A 20,894-nucleotide genomic window follows, 5' to 3' on the forward strand; every position below is an offset into this window, starting at 1 on the left:
TACAGCCAGAGCCCCCTGAGAGGAGATGCCTGCCTTGACTCAGCAGGGAGCTCTCACTGCTGTATGGACACACCTAATTTGACATAAAAAATGACGCTACCCACTTTCATCATCCACCTTACCCACTGCTTATCCAAATGGGTCTCAGTTGTTTGGCACATTGGATGTCCCCGTAAGGACAAGGATGGTCCTTCCCTGAGGATGCTCAGTGGACTCCCTGGGCGCTGAGGATTGTTCTTCAGGAGCACAGTAGCAACATCTTTGGAACCAGTGTGTGGCTTTCCCAGAGAGGCCGCAGTCAACTGGCTGAGAGGGAGGTTAGAAATGAGTAGGCAGGCCTCCCTGCCACCACGCCCAGGGCTGGGGGAGCTGGCGAGTGCTTCCAGCCTGCTCTTGGCCTGGACACTGCAGGCTGGGCCTCTTCCTGCGAGGAGCTCACGTTCTGATGTTCAGATTGAACCTGGAACACGGAAAGCATTCAGAGTCCTGGCGTTGTCCTGAATCATACACATTGTCTTCTCTGGGAAAGCTTTTGGGGCCGCTGGCCTTTGGGATGCTGACACGAATTGTGGGACACACTTAGGCCAAGAAGGGAAGCCACAGAATTGCCCCCAGTTCTGGGAGATGGGATGGCAGTCTGGTTTCCTGGGCCCACCTTCCAGCTGGCTTTGGTTGTGCTGTGCCCATCAGCCGAAGTAGATGGACTTGACCCTGTCTTTGGGGGCCAGGCGTGGGGGGCAGTAGGGATCTTGAGTGTGAGCCCCCCATCCTGATTCTGGGGCAAGGGAGAAGGTGAATTTGACCACAGGAAGAAAAGTGGAGAGGTAGGGTCTGGTCTCCAGCTCACCCATAAAAGCTGGTGAGTCTCCGAGTGTCCTCAGGTCTGTGGGGAGGGCATCAGCTGCAGTTCCTGATTCTGCTACAGAACGTGGATGGGGGCTGCGGACTACCTCATGCCACCTCCAACCAGCCACAAGTTTCTGTTGCAGGGAACAGAGGGCAGATCGAATGGATCCCCCATTAGAAGAGTGCCTGACACAGAGTAGGCCTTAACAGATATTTGTTGATGGGAGATAGGAAGGGGATAGTGAGTTACAGCTATGGAAAGAAACTCAACTAGGCCAATCACAGTTTGAGGGATTGAGGGAAAGACCCCATCCTACCTTAAAATGCCTCTTCACTAGCTTGGCCAGCTGGTGGAACCCCTGCCGTTAGATGTTTGTTCTTTTGGAGGCTCTTTGGTTTTCAGGAGTCTTCTCTTGATTTGCTTTGTTTTATTGTTAATTTGTACTTATTTATTTATTTTTAAAGACAGGGTCTCGCTCTGTCATGCACGCTGAAGTGCAGTAGCGCAATAATAGCTCACTGCAGCCTCCAACTCCTGGGCTCAAGCAATCCTCCTGCCTCAGCCTCCTGAGTAGTTGGGACCACAGATGTGCAACACCATGATTGACTAATTATTATTTATTTGTAGAGATGGGGTCGCACTATGTTGCCCAGGCTGGTCTTGAACTCCTGGCCTTAAGGGGTTCTTTTGCTTCTGCCTCCCAAAGTGTTGGGATTATAGGCATGAGTGAGCCACCACGCCCAGCCCAGGAGTCTTCTCTTAAAATGCCACAGCCTCTTGGAGAGGCTTCCTGTTTCTAGCCGTGGCAGGAGATCAGCATGGCCTTTTGGAGATGAAATCTAAGAGGTAGGGTCAAGCCACCCCTAGATTCCTGCTTTCTTTGCGCACCTTCCCAACATTGCCTCTATTAGAGAAATTCCCAAACCTTTTCTTTCTGTGGAAACTGCAGCAGAGCAGAAGACTCCAGGGACCTCCCCATGCCTCTCCAAGAAAATTATTGCCAAGCAGTCCTCATAGGCATTCATAGGATGATGGCGTGGCTTTAAAGAAACACCTAAGGGAATATCTGTTTTTTTGGGTGGTTGTTTTAAATCAATTATCTTGTTGTTGTTGTTGTTGTTTTTTTTTTTTTTTGAGACGGAGTTTTGCTCTTGTTGTCCAGGCTGCAGTGCAGTGGTGCAGTCTCGGCTCACCACAACCTCCGCTCCTGGGTTCAAGCGATTCTCCTGCCTCAGCCTCCCGAGTAGCTGGGATTACAGGTGGCTGCCACTACTCCTGGCTAATTTTGTATTTTTAGCAGAGATGAGGTTTCTCCATGTTGGTCAGGCTGGTCTCGAACTCCTGACCTCAGGTGATCCTCCAGCCTCAGCCTCCCAAAGTACTGCGATTACAGGCGTGAGCCAACACGCCCGGCAAAAATCAATAATCTTTTTTTTTTTTTTTTTTTTTTGTTTTTAAATTTATTTTTTTATTGATAATTCTTGGGTGTTTCTCACAGAGGGGGATTTGGCAGGGTCATGGGACAATAGTGGAGGGAAGGTCAGCAGATAAACAAGTGAACAAAGGTCTCTGGTTTTCCTAGGCAGAGGACCCTGCGGCCTTCCGCAGTGTTTGTGTCCCTGATTACTTGAGATTAGGGATTGGTGATGACTCTTAACGAGCATGCTGCCTTCAAGCATCTGTTTAACAAAGCACATCTTGCACCGCCCTTAATCCATTCAACCCTGAGTGGACACAGTACATGTTTCAGAGAGCACAGGGTTGGGGGTAAGGTCACAGATCAACAGGATCCCAAGGCAGAGGAATTTTTCTTAGTGCAGAACAAAATGAAAAGTCTCCCATGTCTACTTCTTTCTACACAGACACGGCAACCATCCGATTTCTCAATCTTTTCCCCACCTTTCCCGCCTTTCTATTCCACAAAACCGCCATTGTCATCCTGGCCCGTTCTCAATGAGCTGTTGGGTACACCTCCCAGACGGGGTGGTGGCCGGGCAGAGGGGCTCCTCACTTCCCAGTAGGGGCGGCCGGGCAGAGGCGCCCCTCACCTCCCGGACGGGGCGGCTGGCCGGGCGGGGGACTGACCCCCCCCCACCTCCCTCCCGGACGGGGCGGCTGGCCGGGCAGAGGGGCTCCTCACTTCCCAGTAGGGGCGGCCGGGCAGAGGCGCCCCTCACCTCCCAGACGGGGCGGCTGGCCGGGCGGAGGGCTGACCCCCCCCACCTCCCTCCCGGACGGGGCGGCTGGCCAGGCAGAGGGGCTCCTCACTTCCCAGATGGGGCGGCGGGGCAGAGGCGCTCCCCACATCTCAGACGATGGGCGGCCGGGCAGAGACGCTCCTCACTTCCTAGATGTGATGGCGGCTGGGAAGAGGCGCTCCTCACTTCCTAGATGGGATGGCGGCCGGGCGGAGACGCTCCTCACTTTCCAGACTGGGCAGCCAGGCAGAGGGGCTCCTCACATCCCAGACGATGGGCGGCCAGGCAGAGACACTCCTCACTTCCCAGACGGGGTGGCGGCCGGGCAGAGGCTGCAATCTCGGCACTTTGGGAGGCCAAGGCAGGCGGCTGCTCCTTGCCCTCGGGCCCCGCGGGGCCTGTCCGCTCCTCCAGCCGCTGCCTCCCGGGCGGCGCTCCCGGCGCGGCGGCAAAGACTGAGACAGCTCCGCTGCCCGCTGAACTCCATCCTCCCGGCGGTCGGGCGGCGGCGGCTGCCGCTTGTGTAGTTTTAAATGTTCAAAATCAATAATCTTTAATACAGTCTTGATTCAAGTCAGGAACTAAAACATAGATACTGCCACATCCTAAACCCAGTGCTGTAGGGACTGGTCTGTGCACCCTGGTGTTTCTGAGACCTTGCAGCCACCTCTACCTCCCGATTCCCCACGACTCCAGGGTCTGCACTGCCTGCTAGAGAACTGACTTACTGGCATGGGACTTCTGCGGCCTCACTGGCATTCTTAGAGGCAGGGACATTTCTAACATCTCTCCTAAGTATCTCTTGTGCATTGTCTCTTTATTCCTTCTGAAGAGCAGAGGCCTTGGTTTTCCATTCACTGGTGCTTTCCCTGTTTTCTCATTGCCTGGCACCTGGTGGACACAGAAATATTTTTTGAATGAATGAATGAATGAATATTGCACTTGTGATCTAAGAGATGTGGCCCTAATCTCATCCATTTCCCCAGGACACTTAGACACTTGCTTGCTTTAAAACCACCCATCTTCATATTGCAGGGGTTTCAAACATTTCAGGAGAGGCAGTGAGGATCTTTCTTTCTTTCTTTTTTTTTTTATTTTGAGACGGAATCTCGCTCTGTCGCCCGGAGTGCAATGGCATGATCTCGGCTCACTGCAAGCTCCGCCTCCCGGGTTCACGCCATTCTCCTGCCTCAGCCTCCCGAGTAGCTGGGACTACAGGTGCCCGCCACCACGCCCGGCTAATTTTGTTTTTTTGTATTTTTAGTAGAGACGGGGTTTCACCATGTTAGCCAGGATGGTCTCGATCTTCTCACCTCGTGATCTGCCTGCCTTGGCCTCCCAAAGTGCTGGGATTACAGAGGATCTTTCTTAAGTCAGGAGCTCCTTGTTAAAGTGTCTATGGCTCTGGGAGGGGAGTTATGCTGCCTTTCCCAAAAGAGGTGGCGAGGACGTTGAGGGAAGAGGAGGCCATTGCTCAGAATTTCATGCTGAGGATACTGAGGCTGGCTTTCCTTGGGTGTCTGGGCAGTTGAGCAGAGGAGGCTGGAGCCAGGCTTTCTGGATTGTGACCCAGATTCTGTCGTTTCTCTCCCCCTCCCATGCCTGCTTCCGTCTTCGTCAGCTCGACCCAGGGTCACCTCAGAGCTCCCAGCAGAGTCTGTGGGCAGCTTTGGAGGAAAACATGCGCCCAAAATGGCCAAATCCATGAGGACTTGAGAGAGGCACGTGTGTGGCTATTTTGGGTTTGGTGGGCTGAGCTCAGATCTCTCTGGCATTCCCAGCCACTGGCTTCTGAGAATTGAGCAGAATGGAAGGATGTTAAAAAGCGAGGCTCCAGGAGCAGCCCAAGAATTTGCTCATTCTTTACCTCTGGGAGGAGGTGCTCACCCCGGAACCCACAAGGAGGAATGGGGCTGAGGGAAGGGACTATGGCAGGGAGGGGGCAGGGGAAGAGAGGGAAAGTTCAAGACGATTTCCTCTTCCTCTTCTGTGACTTCCTGGAGGAGGGGTGGCAAGTACAGTGCTGGCCCAGGGCCAATCTGATAAGGTAGCAGGACTTAGAGCCCAGAGGAATGGCTCCCCCCGCAATCCATGCCTCTGGGGGAGTTGCCTGGTAACAGCCATTGGCTGGGGTGGTGCATCAGCCTCTCTGCCTCTCTGAATGTCTCTTTCAATTTCTCTATCCTTCTCCCACATCAGGCTAGGGACAGCTCTGATCTCAAATGACTGGGGAGTCTTCATCTCTTTCTCCCTTCCCCAGAGTCAGGCAGAGAAGCCCCTTTCACTCAGTGCACATGAGGGAGACATGTGAGCACCTCCTCCGTGGAAGTTCAGGAGCTCAGTGATGCCGGGGTCTGTCTTTGCCCCTGAGGAGCTAGTGTGGACGTGTGGAGACACGCATGTGTAGATGTGCACCGATGCAGGACGTCGGCCAGAGTGCAGAGTGCAGAGTGCAGCCGGATGTGACAGGCAGAGCGGGTCAGTGGGAAGAGCTGCCCAGTAGGAGTCAGGGCCCCCAGCTGGCCTGGGGCAAGTCATGTCATTTCTTGGTGCCTCAGATTTTTCCATCTGTCAAGTGAGGGGTTTATGATGCCTGAAGTCCTTTCTGGCTTAAGAGTTACCTGATTCCAGGAGTTGCAGGGAGAAGAGCCTTAAAGATGGGTAGAATGTTTTCATTGCCTCTGTCTTTGTTCCAAATTGGGTCTACCCTTGGACCCATCTCAGCTGGGTTGTTCCCATGAAGAGGGGGCAGGCTGAGGGCTCAGGTGTTACACTCGGATCCCAGACCTCGCTTCTGTTCTCTGGACCCTCCTGTTAGGAAAACTGCCAAATTTGCCTTTAGGTTCAGAAAATCAGTTGCACCTGTCTAGAACAAGGTGGTTCATCCTTGGCCTGCAAGGGAGGGCTGAGTGACTGCCTGAGACCCACAGAGCCTGCTGGGGACTGACATCTGCTCCCATCCAGCCTCGTTCTTTGCTTAGAGTCACTTTGTCCGTATTGTTTCTGTAATGCCAAATTACTTGTAGCTCTTTCTTCCTTTCCCAGTCATGAGGTTTCATTTTTCATTGTTCTCAGTGTGATCTACCTTGCTTGAAATGCTTCCCGGATATGGCATTGTTTTTTTTTTTCTCTCTCTCTCTTTTTTTTTTTTGGGATGGAGTCTCACTCTGTTGCCCAGCCTGGAGTGCAGTGGAGTGATCCCGCCTCTCTGCAACCGCAGCCTCCTGGGTTCAAGTGATTCTTGCTCCTCAACCTCCTGAGTAGCCATGTGACTATGGGTGTGCATCACCACGCCCGGCTAATTTTTGTGTTTTTAGTAAAGATGGGGTTTCACCATGTTGGCCAGGCTGGTCTCGAACTCCTGACCTCAGGTGATCCACCTGCCTTGGCTCTCCAAAGTGCTGGGTTTACAGGTGTGAGCCATGGTGCCTGGCCTATTTTATCTCTTAACTGCATTGTTTTAGCAAATTTGAAAATTTGCTCAGCTGTTGTTTAAGTATTTTTCCATCTCCACTTCCCTCTCCTTTCTTTCTGGTACCCCAATTATATGGATATTTGACTGTTTGATATTGTCCTGTAGGTTGCTGATGTTATTTTTTCAGTATTTTTTCCTTCTGTGCTTCATTTTGAATAGTTTCTATTGCTATGTCTTCAAGCGCACGGATCTTCTGCAGTGGGTAATCTCATGTTCAATAATTCCCTCTGGTGTATTTTTCATTTCTGACATTGTATTTCCCATTTCTAGACATTCCATTTGAGTGTTTGTTGTATCTTTGTCTCATCATGTTGATGTTTTCCTCTGCATTCTTGAGCTTTGGAGCGTACTTACAATACTTGTTTATTTCATCTTTATCTACTAGTTTCATCATCTCTGTTATTTTTGGGTTTGTTCTGTTGACTGATTTTTCTGTTTATGATTTTTCTCCTCCATATTTTTCTGCTTCTTTGAATGTCTACTGATTTTTAATTGGATGCCAGATCCTGTAAATTTAATGTTGATGGGTATTGGGTTTTGTTATATTTCCTTGAGTGGTATTGGGCTTTATTCTGGCATTCATTTAAATTGCTTGGGCTCAGTTTCATACATTTGAGGTTTGCTGTTAAGCTTTGTTGGGGTAGACCCAGACCAGCCTTTAGTCTAGGGCTCACTTAGCCTCACTGCTAAGGCAACACCCTTCAGAGGATTCTACCGAATACCCTGTGTTTTTGAGGTCTGTCCACTCTTTTTTTTTTTTTTTTTTTGGGACGGAGTCTTGCTCTGTCGCCCAGGCTGGAGTGCAGTGGCACAATCTCAGCTCACTGCAAGCTCTGCCTCCCGGGTTCATGCCATTCTCCTGCCTCAGCCTCCCGAGTTGCTGGGACTACAGGTGCCTGCCACCATGCCTGGCTAATTTTTTGTATTTTTAGTAGAGACGGGGTTTCACCATGTTAGCCGGGATGGTCTCGATCTCCTGACCTCATGGTGATCCGCCCGCCTCGGCCTCCCAAAGTGCTGGGATTACAGGCTTGAGCCACCGCGCCCGGCCAAGGTCTGTCCACTCTTGCTGGTGGGAATGTGAACTCTGTCTGGCCCTGTGTGTGCTCCACAGATTGTTGGGCCTGTTGCTTTCCAGTGGTTCTTTTCTCAGTCTTGTGGATTTCACCCCACTGGTGTGCAGATCAGCCAGAGAGTCTGGGTACTCTTCTCGAAGTCTCTTCGCACTCTCTGCTCTCCTCTCCTCTCTGGTATTCTGCCCTAAGAATCTTAGCTGCATGAACTCTAATTCCTGTCTCCTCAACTTGGTGAGACCTCTGGACTCCATTTGGATTCCTGTTGTCTGAACTGCTGCGTGGAAGCTGCCTCCAGGAAGTAAGCTGGACAATCAGAGGACTTGCCTGTTTTGTTCCATTCGTCTGTCAGGGATTGCAGTCCTGTGTTGCCTGTTGCCCGATGTCTGAAGTAGTTTCGTGTGTTCTGTCCAATTTTTCAGTTGTTTTAGGTGGGACGGTAAGTCCAGACCTTGTGGCTTTACCAGGGCTGTCCCCGGGAGTCCTGCATTATTTGAAGACTCACCCCAGGCATCACCTCATTTCCTGGTGTCATCCTTCTGCACTGGGGTGGGTGCCTCTAGGAAACACTCCTACAAGAACCCATAAGCAGCATGTTCTTTTCCCCTTACTTAATTTATCTAGCTTTGTTGTTATCTCTCTAAGTTGGCTGTGTCTTTGAGTACAAAGATGATATGGTGTTTTTCTCATTATCCCTTGTACCTAGCTCAGTGCTAGGTGGCCAATGTTTGTTGATTGAACAAGTAAATGAGAATAAATGGAAGACAATATAAGTGAACCATGCTTCATGGTTACTAAGAAGAACAGTACCATCCCGGGTGTGGAGCTTGGGCTCCCAGGAGCTCAGATCACACCTGTAGCATTGGGTTTACTTAATTCTGGTTGGGGCATTGGCAAGTCTGAAGTCATCTGGAGGAGGGTGACTGGGAGAACGGAAACTACACTCCATAGGAATTGGATGAAGGATTTGGGAATGTTCATTCTGTTGGGAAATTGTCTTTTATGGAGTACTATTGGAGGGGGGCATAATAACAGTTTTCCAACATGTGTAGGATTGAGGACTGAACTTAGGACTCTTGGTGAAGGATTCTAGGCCATTAGATTTGGGTCTAGGTCCAGGAAGAACTTTCTGAAAATTGAACCATCCAGCAGAGAAATGGGTACCTTGAAGATAGTGAGCTCCCTGTTGCTGCTGGGATTTAAGCCAAACCCACGTCTGTTGCTTAGGGATGCTGTGTTTGGAGTTGTAAAGTTAACCAAGATGTTGCATGAGATATCTCTTAGATGCCACTCTACACAATTTTGGATCTTACTCCTCCTCTGAGCCCCATGATTCATCCTCTGGCAGCCTCCCATCCCCAGCCTACACACACATCCAGAAAACACACCTGGAATGTGCTCCTTACTACTGTTTTATGAAACAAGCACCCCTTGTTTCCTGCCTAAAGTGGATTCTTCTCGGGCCTCACGGACTGGCTGCTACCACCCCTGGGCGGTGTCTGTGCTCATCTCCATCCTTCTGACTTCGGCCTGACTGGCACCCCATTGATCTGGGTCAGCCCCTTCTGTCAGCACCTTGTCCCATTGTCTCCTGTGTCTGGAGACACAGTGCCTTTGAGACAGAGGATGGCTCTGATTAGCCCGTTGTTTTCCCTGCTCCCTGGTGGCTGGGAGGCTCCCAGCGAAGCCTGGCGGCCTTGCTGCAGCCATTCCACTGCTCAGGAATATGGCTCTGAATGGATACTGTCACCCTTGATCTGTTCATCCGCTCCTTTCTCTGGGTCTCATGTCTCTTCCCCTAGGGTCTTTCTTTTCCTCGGACTGGAAGCTCCTGAGGAGGTGTCACCCCACTGGGTCAAGGATGGTTTGCTGCACATTGTAGAGGCTCAGTTAGTAGTGGTGCTGGCAGAACTCTTGAGAGAATCTTGCACGCACCTGCTCTTTCCCCCTGCCTTTTTTTCTTTTTCTTTTTTTTTGAGTTGGGACCTCATTCTGTTGCTCAGGCTGGACTACTGTAGTGTGATCATGACTCACTGCAACTTCTGACTCCTGGGTTCAAGCGATCCTTCTGCCTCACCCTCCTAAGTAGCTGGGACTGCAAGCTCATGCCATCATGCCCTGCCAACATTTTTAAAATTTTTTTGTAGAGGCGGAGTCTTGCTATTTTGCCCAGGCTGGTCTCGAACTCCTGGCCTGAAGTGATCCTTTTGCCTTGGCTCCCAAAGTGCTGGGGTTACAGGTATAAGCTGCTTACCCTGGCCAAGGAGGAATTTTTTTTTTTTTTTTTTAGACAGAGTCTTGCTCTGTCACCTAGGCTGGAGTGCAGTGGCGCGATCTCAGCTCACTACAAGCTCCGCCTCCCACCAGGTTCATGCCATTCTCCTGCCTCAGCCTCCTGAGTAGCTGGGACTACAGGCGCCCGCCACCACGCCCGGCTAATTTTTTGTATTTTTAGTAGAGATGGGGTTTCACCATGTTAGCCAGGATGGTCTCGATCTCCTGACCTCGTGATCCGACCGCCTCGGCCTTCCAAAGTGCTGGGATTACAGGCGTGAGCCACTGCGCCTGGCCCCAGGGAGGAATGTTTTTTTGAGAGCTATTGCACAGCATGGTGACTACAGTAAATAATAACATGTTGCATATTTCAAAATTGGATCTGGAACAGAGGTCACTTAACCCATATTTGTGGACTGAATGAGTGAGCCCCAGAGAGGGACATCCCAGTGTCCAGGTGGCCAGGACAGTGTTCCACCCAACCTGCCCATCTTTTGAATGAGGAAGATGAACTCACGAGGTGAAGCCATGTGCTCCAGGCCACTTGCTGTTAGGTGGGAGAGCCTGTCTAGAAACCTACATGTTCTGCCTCCTAGTTTCCAGCTGGCTCCCTTGGGGGATGTCAAGACAGTAATAAAAACATGATATAATCCCAGTCAGCGTTGACCAAGTACATTCTGTCGTGATGTGCAGAGTTTTGTCCTACTTCTTAAAATGCACTCACTGAAAAGAGATTTCCTGAGCCTGTTCTCTATTCCCCTTGGCTGCCGTCACCAGTTCCTGCCTCAGAACACACTTGCCCTCAATGTGACTATGATGAAAATATATTCACTATTTTTGTCAGCCTCGTCCGCGGTAGCTGTTGTCTGCATGCTGTTTTAGGTCAACTAATATTTTACTGAGGATTCTTATGTTGGTTATCTTTCCATTCCTCACGTGCTTATCTGTATGGGATTTGCTCACTTATGCTTTAGCTGAACACTCATTGAACACTTCTGGTGTGCAGGCAGGCTCTAGGAACCAGGGACTCAGTGGTGAATCGGACTGGACGTGCCCACCTGGGGACCTCAAAGGTCCCTAAACTGGGACTGCAAGTTGGCCTGGGGGATGCTGCTGGGAGAAATCATTTTGGGGTCTTTGTCTCTGTAGGGCTCCCCACCATGCCATGCACGAACATGTATTCCTAGACACTGCTCCTGTTGTCTCTTGGCTGTGACTTTGGGAAGTGGCTGGGATGAGGCAGCCACCAGCCTCAAAGGACTAGCACCTGGAGAGTGGGAAAGTGGGCTTAGGGCTTGTGTTTCTGGTCCCAGCCTCTGCTTGGTTCACACTAAGTGTCCTCAGCCTCATCCCACAGATATTTGAAGGGCTCCTCTGGCCAAGCACTGCTCCCGGCTCTGGGGCTGCAGGAGTGAGGAAAAATCCCTGCCCTCAAGAGCTCATATGTTGGTGGAGGAGACAGACAATGAAAATTGGTGTATATCAGGAGGTGGCAAATGCTATGGAGGACAGTAAAGCAGGGCGGGACGGGAGGATGAGGCGGGGTCAGGGAGCCGTGAAGGCGTTACTGAGGAGCTGGCATTTCAGGAGAGACTGGAAGACAGGGAGGGAGTGAACCTGTGAACATCTTGGGGTGGTGCCTCCTGGGGCAGCGGGAGTAGGAGGTGGGAGCACATGAGGCCTGTTCAAGGCTGGTACAGCTGGAGGGGAGTGAGCAAGGGGAAGGTCATGGGATTTGGATTATCTAGGCCATCTTAGGGGCTTTAGCTCTTATGGCAGAAGAGATGGGAGCCATGGAGGGCTTTGAGCAAAGGAGTGGGAGAGCTGGCATACATTTCAAAAGGATTGCTGTGGCTGCTCGGTAGAAAATCGGTAAGTGACAGTAGCAGTACTAATAACTGTTTTTTTTTTTTAATTGTTGTTGTTGTTTTGAGGTAGGGTCTCACTCTGTCACCCAGGCTGGAGTCCGGTGGCATGATCATGGCTCACTGAAGCCTCAACCTCCTGGGTTCAAGAGATCCTCCCACCTCAGCCTCCTGAGTAGCTGGGACTGTAAGCATGTACCACCACGCCTGGTTAATTTTTGCATTTTTTGTAGAAATGGGGGTCTTGCTATGTTGCCCAGGTTGGTTTCGAACTCCTGGGCTCAAGCATTCCTCCTGCCTCAGCCTCCCAAAGTGCTGGGATTACAGGCGTGAGCCACTGCGCCTGGCCTCTAATCACTGTTAGCTACCAAGTGCTTATCGTGTGCCTGGCTCGGTGCAGACTCTTTGTGGCACCTCATTTAATCCGCCCAGCAACTTTACTCCAATTTACTTAGCAAGAAGTTCAGAGAAAGTAAACATTTTGTCCGAGGATACAGAGCTAAAAGGTGGTGGAGCCAGCTGTCAGCTTAGGTCAGGCAGGTTCCAAAGGTTGTGCCCTGGACTCTTGTCCATATTTCCAGAGCAAAAGGGCCGGTCATTTAGGACAACAGTGGACAGGCGTGTGGGGGTGATGGGCAGGGGGACCCTGTTCCTGTTGTTTGGCTGCTCTCAGGCGTTCAGCTGGTCACCCTGGGAGAGGGGTGAGGGCAGGCCCTCTGCTTTAACTCACTTGTGTGGTAGGAGGAAAAGCAAATTGTTTCCAGATGAGGGGAGGCTGCCTGGGGAGTGGAATTTGTGCCCCGTCTGCGCACAGCAGCCTCTCTGGGCCTACAGGACCCTGTGTCTTTGTGTTCAGACAAGCCCTGCTGTGTAGAGGCCTGAGCTTTCTGCCGCCGACTTGGGCTCAGTGCCCCGAGGCAGGCAGATGGAGGAGTGCGGCAGATGTGCCGTCCTCTCCCAGGGGAGGGAAGCTCCTTCTGTTTCCGAGTGAAGTCTGGGCCAACATGCCCCGTATTTTACCTATCCCTTTCCTTCTAAGTAGTTCAGATCACTTTCAGAACGTCACTTCCATAATCCTTATATTTATTGCTCCCTGAGGAAGTAAGGAAGATATTTTTCCTTGTCTTAAAAAAAAAAAAAAAAGCTACAGGCTGGAAAAATTGGGGTCAGAGAGTAAGGCTGGGGTGGAGCAAGGGAGGGAACCCAGGAGCCTAGGCCTCTGTGCAGCTTGCCTTGAGAGGGGCAGGGAGGGAAGAGGCGAGCTGAGCGGGAAACAGGGGCTTCTGGATTTGGGGGTGCTTCCTTTTCTGTTAACCATGTGCTTTGGTGTCTGAATCCCGGTGGGGTGAGGGTCCCTGCCCTACCTAGTAGCTGTCTCAAGGAGTGTACATGCCCCTGGGGGCCTAGGGCCTGCTTTGTGTGCACGCGCGTGCACACACACACTCACACACACGCACACACGCGCACGCACACACGCTCATACACACTCACGCACACATGCGCACACACGCACACGCGCACACACACTTTCATACACACGCTCACACACGTTCACACACACACGCTCACACACACATGCACACATGGTCACGGGCACTCATGTTCTCAGGTGTGCTTGGTCCCATCCACACTCATCACCGCCTCCCTTACCCTCACGTGCTCATTCGTATGTGCAGCGCACACTCAGTCTTGCACACACACACTCATATACCCCCTTACCCCTCACCCACTCCATCCTCACCCCATGTGCACCTACACATAGCATGCACACTCGCTCTTGTGCGCGCACGCACACACACACATGCCTGCCCATGCTGTGGCTCTCACACACACGTGCGTGATTGGTTAGTTCGCCTGTGCATATACCCACCTATGCCCACAGGGAGGTGTTTGGGGGACACATGTCAGAGACGGGCACCAACAGCTGGCAGCTGACTTGGCATGGGAGTTTCTGACAGTGGTGGAGTCCCACAATAATGGCTTTTAGCTTACCACATCCTGTGCCTCAGTTTACCCCTCTTGTATAATAGAGAGAGCTTGGAGAGACTGAGGACACAGGAGACACAGGTGGTTGAGTGTTCTGAGATCTGCAGACTGGGAGGCATTATGCCTGTAAAATGTAAAGTTAACAAAGGCAGAAACTGGTGGTGGGAAGTGGAGGAGGTCCTTAAAAAGAAAGATGGGACTGGGCCTGGTGGCTCACGCCTGTAATCCCAGCGCTTGGGGAGGCTGAGACAGAAGGATCACTTGAGCCCAGAAATTTGAGTTCACCCTCAGCAACATAATGAGAACCCTGTCTCTGCAAAAAATAAAAAAATTGGCCACACGGGGTGGCATGTGCCTGTAGTCACAGCTGCTTGGGAGGTTGAGGTGGGGGGATCACCTGAGCCCAGGAGTTCGAGTCTGCAGTGAGCCGTGACGGTGCCACTGCACTCCAGCCTGGGCAACAGAGTGAGACCCTGTCTCGACAAAACAAAACAAAACAAAACAGTAAAAGAGGTGCCCCTCCCTAGGCTTCCTGGCTATATAGCGCCAGGCTGCAGCTGGCTTCTCAAGCTCAGGCTGACTGTCTTCACCGACCTTGAATATGTACCATCAGCAAAACCAAGACCTTGGCTGCAGAGCTCTTGGGGCCCTGGGGATGGAGGGTGCATTGGTCAGTAGGGTGGAAAAGGACCATTTTGGGAAGGAAAGGCTCCCTCCTGGCTGCTCAGATCCCAGCGGGTTTCCAGCCACAGAAGCAAAGCAAACAGGCCCCTGACTTTGTTTCTATTTCAGAAACCTTGCCGCCACCACCACCACTGCTGCCACCGCAGAGCACGAAATCATCACGGGGCTGTGGAAATCCAATTAGACTTGAGCCGCCGGCGGCCCCCTCCGTGGGGAGTGGGGGAGGGAGGCTCTATCTAGAAAGCTGCCTCCATAAATTTGAGTTAGAGTGGTGGAGGGGCCAGACTGTTACTCATCCTTGACTGTTTCTTCTGACCTCGAAATCCAGCGAGTGAAAATCTGCGTGAAAACCTGAGGTCTGCCAGGCGGCACTGCAGGGGGCGGGAGTGGCCTGGAGGCTGAGATGAGATCCCCAGCCTGTTTGGCTGCCTGATGGGTTGACTCAGGGCCTTCGTTCCCAGTCTTTGGGCCTGGGATCTTTCTGAGCCTTAAATCTCTGGGTTTCACAGGCTGGGGTGAGGAGAGAGGGACCAAGGACAGCAGACCCCCAGTCCAGCCCCCCTATCCCTGTGCCCTTCATCTGGGGCCATGCATGCCTCTTGTTAGGTCTGGCTTTCCCTTTCTGTTTGGGGCACTGGCTTCGTGGTGGCCTCTTCCCTGTGGGACTGCCAAGCTGCTGCAAGGACCTTTAGGTCACGCCCAGAGACAGCCTTTTGCTTCAGTGTCCTCATTCTTCAGGCTCAGATGGGCTGTATTTTATTTATTTGTAAATTACCTTGTTCCAGAAAAGGTGATCAAAACAAATCCAGATACCTGGTGATATCGCTAGTGCTACCTGGGCATGAATTCATTTTTTCCTGGCTTGAGTTTCAAATGTCAACTGGGACTCTTGTCTCTGTCCAGGCCCCCAAGCCTTTGCACATATTCCTGCTCCCTGGACCAACCTCGTGCTATTTATACTTTCAACTCTATTCCTAAACCCAGTAAGAAACTCCCCAAAACCTCCATACCTGATCCTCACATTTCTGGATACTCCTTGTGTACTCAGTTTAGATGTCACCTCCCTCCACTAACTAAGCGTTCCCCTCTGGGTGGAGTGCCTTTCTTGTGTAACCCCATAGCACCTGTGCTCACCCCTGTGCTGAAGGTATTGAAAGGAATAAGACACAGTCTCTCCTCCAGAGTCTGTGGCGTAGACAGTGAGTCATCGGATGCTACAATGTGCTGTGATAAATGTATCACAGGGACAGTGCAATGGACCACATAGTAGGTACTCTGTGAATATTTGTTGGTCTTGCAAATCTGAAAAAACTATTCATTCTGCATTCACACTTCCTTGATATTTTGGCTTGGTATAGGATCTCAGCTAGGTTCCAGCCCCCCGTCCTGTGCAAAGCATTGCTTAATTTTCTTTTAAATTCCAGGGTTACTCTCAAGAAGTCTAATGCCATTCCAGTTTTATTCCTTTGAAGGTAGCATGGCTTTTCTCTCTGGAGTCTCTGGTGTCCCGTGGAAAAGTCTCTCTGTCTCTAGTGTTCTGCTGTGTCACACATGACGTGATTTAGTGTGGCTCGACTTTCATCCACTGTGGATCCTTTCGATCTTGAAACACCCACTGTTTAGTTCAGGGAAATTTTCTTGAGTTACTTCACTGATGGTCTCCTTCCCCCGTTTTCTCCTTTCTTTTGGAACTCATAGAATTTAGATATTAAATCTCCTGGATTGGTCTTACAATTTTATTTTCTTTCCTATCCCCCTCCTTTCCTTTCCTGGAGATTTCTTCCACTTTATCTTCCGGCCTTCTATCGGGGTTTTTATTTTAGTTAGCAGATTTTTAATTTCAAGAAATTTTGTTTTCGAAGTATTTGTCTTTTATAGCACCCTTTTGGTTTTGGTTTCATGGGTACAATATCATTATCTTATTTGTCTAAGGATATTAATGATAGTTTCATTTTGGGAGGAAGGATTCTTTTTTTTTTTTGAGACAGAGTCTCGCTCTTGCCCAGGCTGCAGTGCAGTGGCGCGATCTCCGCTCACTGCAAGCTCCGCCTCTCGGGTTTACACCATTCTCCTGTCTCAGCCTCCCGAGTAGCTGGGACTACAGGCACTCGCCACCACGCCCGGCTAATTTTTTGCATTTTTAGTAGAGACGGGGGTTTCACCGTGTTAGCCAGGATGGTCTCGATCTCCTGACCTCGTGATCCGCCCGCCTTGGCCTCCCAGAGTGCTGGGATTACAGGTGTGAGCCACCGCTCCTGGCCAGGAGGAAGGATTCTTTACTGTTTCATATAGTCTGTGTGTGTGTGTGTGTGTGTGTGTGTGTGTGAGAGAGAGTGTGTGTGTGTGTGTGTGTTTGTGTGTGTATTTTCTGTCTTTCCTGTGAACATTTTCTTCAGAAGTCTAGTGATCCTTGGAAGTCTTTACATTTTGAGTGAGGCATTAAAAGGTGATTGGAACTTGTGTGTGTATGTCGCTTGTGGATTCTGGGCCTTGTGTAGGGTGACCTAGTTGGCCTGTTTTGTTAGGAACCTAGTAAGTTAGTGCCAGGCATGGTGGCTCATGCCTGTAATCCCAGCACTTTGGGAGGCCGAGGAGGGTGGATCACCTGAGGTCAGGAGTTTGAGACCAGCCTGGGCAACATAGTGAAACCCGTCTCTACTAAAAATACAAAAAATTAGCCGGGCATCGTGGCAGGCGCCTGTAATCCCAGCTACTCAGGAGGCTGAGGCAGGAGAATTGCTTGAACCTGGGAGGCGGATGTTGCAGTCAGCCGAGATCGCACCACTGCACTCCAGCCTGGGCAACAAGAGCAAAACTCTGTCTCAAAAAAAAAAAAAAAAAGACTTTTTAGGGCATAAAACTACAATTTTAAAGAGACCAGAGGAGTTGATGATAGCAACACAATCTTAGAGACTGTAGGTAAAAGGACAGATGTTAATTGGCTTGTGAAAGCTGAATCCTAAAGCATCAGCAACCCTATGAGCACCCCAGAACCCCCAAAAGGCTTAGCAATCTGCAGCACCAGGAGGGGCTGAAAACAGGAGGTCAGGTTAAATGTCTGCTTAAGAATCAGTCCCACTCCCCAGATCTCTGCCCCCGCTTCCCTTAGCCAGGTAAGTGTCCCTCCTCCACCTCAGCACAAGACCGGGAGTGGGCTTTTTCTGTGGAGGGGGTAAAGCAGGAGGTCCTTAGTCTGTGGACTGAGGAAACCAGGCCCAGGGAAGATAGGGTGTTAGGTTTAAGTACAGAGGCCAAGACCCTGCCCTCTTCCTCCATAGGCTCCTGGGCACAGGAATTCCGTTTTAGATCTCCCTGGTAGACTAGAAGGTTCTGCTCTAGGAAATATTAACAGCTCAATACAAAATACCTAGGATACTAATTTACAAATTTTTTAAAGAGACAGGGTCTCTTAAAGCCACCATGCTGGCCAAAAGTCTCTTTTCTCTTGATTTAGTGAGGTATGGGGCACAGTGGAGGTAAGTGTACCCATTCTCTTGGAGATCTTTGGCCAGGACATAGCTGGTGCATTTACTTGCCTTCATCTGTTGTTTTTAACAGTCCAATGGGTGTTTTTTTTCAGCCTTGTGGGAAAGGAACAAAAGTCCATTTCCTTATGTCTGTTTGTTGCAGGATCCTTTGTGCCTAGAGCTGTGCTGGTTACATAGGAGGTCCTCAGTCCTTGCTGGCTGAATGAGTGAACACATGAATGAATTGCAAACCGACTTGGAAACAAAAATGCAAACACAAGCACAGTTCACCCAGGTTCAGACTGTTCTGATGTGCCAGTCATTTACTGTAACTCTGAACATGTTACATATGCAAGTATTTAGCATTGTTTCTGGCTAGCGGTGGGGACACTGTTGACTTTTTCTTCATCCTGGTTTATTTTCTCTGGCTGTAGTGAACATGTGTTGATTCTTCAATTTTTAACCAGGAGTTAAATGAACAAAAATAAAAAAGCATCCAGTTTAGAAAGGAAGCAGCAACCCAGGCACAGTCCTACAGCTTTTACAACCTTCTGCAGGTCACTCTGTCGCCGTAGACCGTAGTTCTTGTTCTGTAAAACAAGTGGTTGGACCGGCTGCATCGAAGGTTTCATCCAGGTGCGAGTGCTGGGATGTTGCTGTTGTCCTCTCTCATTTGTGGCACAACGGTGTAAGTCTCCTGTGGAAAAGAACTGCTGTACCTTCACTTTTCTGGGCCAGAATACCTTTCTTCTGCTCCTCCTCTGAATTCTTGTACCACTTCAGAACATAGTCCAGATCCTACCTCCTCGTAACACTTCTCAGCTGCTCCAGGAGATGCCCGTCCCCTTTCGCCAGCCTCCTTTGACATTTTTGGTTCATAGTTGGATATAGAGGAAGGAGGATAGAACTTGAGGCCTGACAGTGCCAGGTTTGAATTTTAATTCTGTTACTTGTTCACTGTGTGACCTTGGAAAACTCACCTAGTATCTCTGAGCTTCTCTTTTCTCATCTATCTAAAAGAAATTTATCATAAAACTTACCTGATGAGGTTTATGTGAGGATTAAATGAGATATGTATTTAAAACTGCTCTCCTTTACTGTGTGACACAAAATAGATACTAACACAAAAAATGATAAGAATGATCAGTGTTTACGTGCATTACCTTTTTTTTTTTTTTTTTTTTGAGACAGAGACAGACTCTCACTCTGCCGCCCAGGCTGGAGTGCAGTGGTGCGATCTTGGCTTACTGCAGCCTCCGCTTTCTTGGTTCAAACAATTCTTGTGCCTCAGCCTCCTGAGTAGCTGGAATTACAGGTGTAATTCCACACCTGGCTAATTTTTGTATTTTTAGTAGAGACAGGGTTTCATCATGTTGAACAGGCTGGTCTCGAACTCCTGACCTCAGGTGATCCACCCGCCTTGGCCTCCCAAGGTGCTGGGATTACCGGCTTCAGCCACTGCACTCAGCTGCATTACCTTTTTTACTCACATTGATTATTTTTATCTCACCATGAGGAGGCTGAGCTGTAAAGAGGTAATTTCCTCAAGGTTACAAATCGAGGACAGGTCGCCTTTACATTTTCTTTAGGTGTTTTGTGTTTGTATTTAGTCTGTGAATATTTATTGTCTAGGAATTTATCCGTTTCTTCTAGGTTTTTCAATTTATTGGCATCTAGTTGCTATTAGTAGTCTCTAATGAGCCTCTGAATTTCTGTGGTATCAATTGTAATGTTCCTTTTTTTTTTTTTTTTTGAGATGGAGTTTCACTCTTGTTGCCCAGGATGGAGTACAATGGCACGATCTCGGCTCACTGCAACCTTGCCTCCTGGGTTCAAGCAATTCTCCTGCCTCAGCCTCCTTAGTAGCTGGGATTACAGGCATGCACCACCATGCCCGGCTAATTTTGTAGTTTTAGTAGAGACGGGGTTTCTCCATGTTGGTCAGGCTGGTCGCAAACTCCCAACCTCAGGTGATCCTCCTGCCTCAGCCTCCCAAAGTGCTGGGATTACAGGCATAAGCCACCGCGCCTGGCCTGTAATGTTCCATTTTTATCTCTGATTTTATTTATTTGGGTCTTCTTTTTTTTTCCTTAGTCTGGTTAAAAGTTTGTCAATTTTGTTTTTTTCTAGAATTAAATTATTTCTCTTTTTATTTAAAAAATTTTTGTAAAACTGATTTTGTTTCATTGATCTTTTACATATATATTTTTTATTCTCAATCTCATTTATTTTTGCTTTTTTTTTTTTTTTTTTTGGAGACAGAGTCTCACTCTGTCACCCAGGCTGGAGTGCAGTGAGTGGTATGACCATAGCTCACTGCAGCCTCGACCTCTTGGGCTCAAGTGATCCTCCCATTTCAGACTCCCCCGTAGCTGGGGCTATAGGCACATGCCACCACACCTAGCTAATTTTTAATTTTTTTGTAGAGATAAGGTTTAACTGTTGCCCAGGTTGGTCTCGAACTCCTGGCTCCTGCAATTCTCCTGCCTTGGCCTCCTACTCCTAAAGTGTGGATATTATAGGAATACACCATTGTGCCCAGCCTGTTTCCAGAAATTCTTACATTTCCTTCTTAACTTCTATATTGACCCACTGATTGTTCAGGAGCTATTCGATGAATATTTATTGAGAGCTAACTCTATGTCAGGTCATAGTGCTGGGAATACAGCAGTGAGAAAAACGAAGTTACCGCCCTCATAAGCTTACATTCTAATGTAAGAGCCCATCAAGGGAATACATGTCTGTTGGGTAGCGGGAAGTGTGGTGGAGAAAGGGATGGGGTAAAGGCCTAGGGGCTGTAAAAGAGGGCATGTGTGGTGGGGAGGGAGAGCATCTCCAGTCAGTCACATCTGATGGACCCTGCAAAGGATGGAGAGAGCATCCTGGTGGATGCCTGGGGAGGCTCATTCCAGGCACTGGGAACACAAGTGCAATTATGTTTGAGTAGTGGGACCCGGCTCTGATCAGGTCCTGAGGCCATGATGAGAAATTGGGCTTGTTTCTTCAACTTGCTCTTTCCTGTTGA

The 20,894-nt window shown here is 49.7% G+C and overlaps 1 protein-coding gene across 7 annotated transcripts in view; it reads left to right on the top strand.

The window, feature by feature from the left end:
• The window catches only part of TSPAN9 (tetraspanin 9), a 209,181-nt gene that overhangs the window by 15,194 nt on the left and 173,093 nt on the right, over positions 1-20,894 (top strand). Inside the window, exon 3 of one of the 7 annotated variants that reach the window (XM_047428125.1) lies at positions 18,427-18,557. The exons of 5 other annotated variants lie outside the window; for them this stretch is intronic. The gene's annotated coding sequence lies outside the window, so the exon portion shown is untranslated. Of the gene's footprint in view, positions 1-11,452; positions 11,740-18,426; positions 18,558-20,894 lie in introns of those variants that run through there. One more of the 7 variants, XM_047428126.1, reaches the window with a different exon arrangement.

This window comes from Homo sapiens, chromosome 12, assembly GCF_000001405.40.
Source record: "Homo sapiens chromosome 12, GRCh38.p14 Primary Assembly".
NCBI classification, from domain to species: Eukaryota; Metazoa; Chordata; class Mammalia; order Primates; family Hominidae; genus Homo; species Homo sapiens.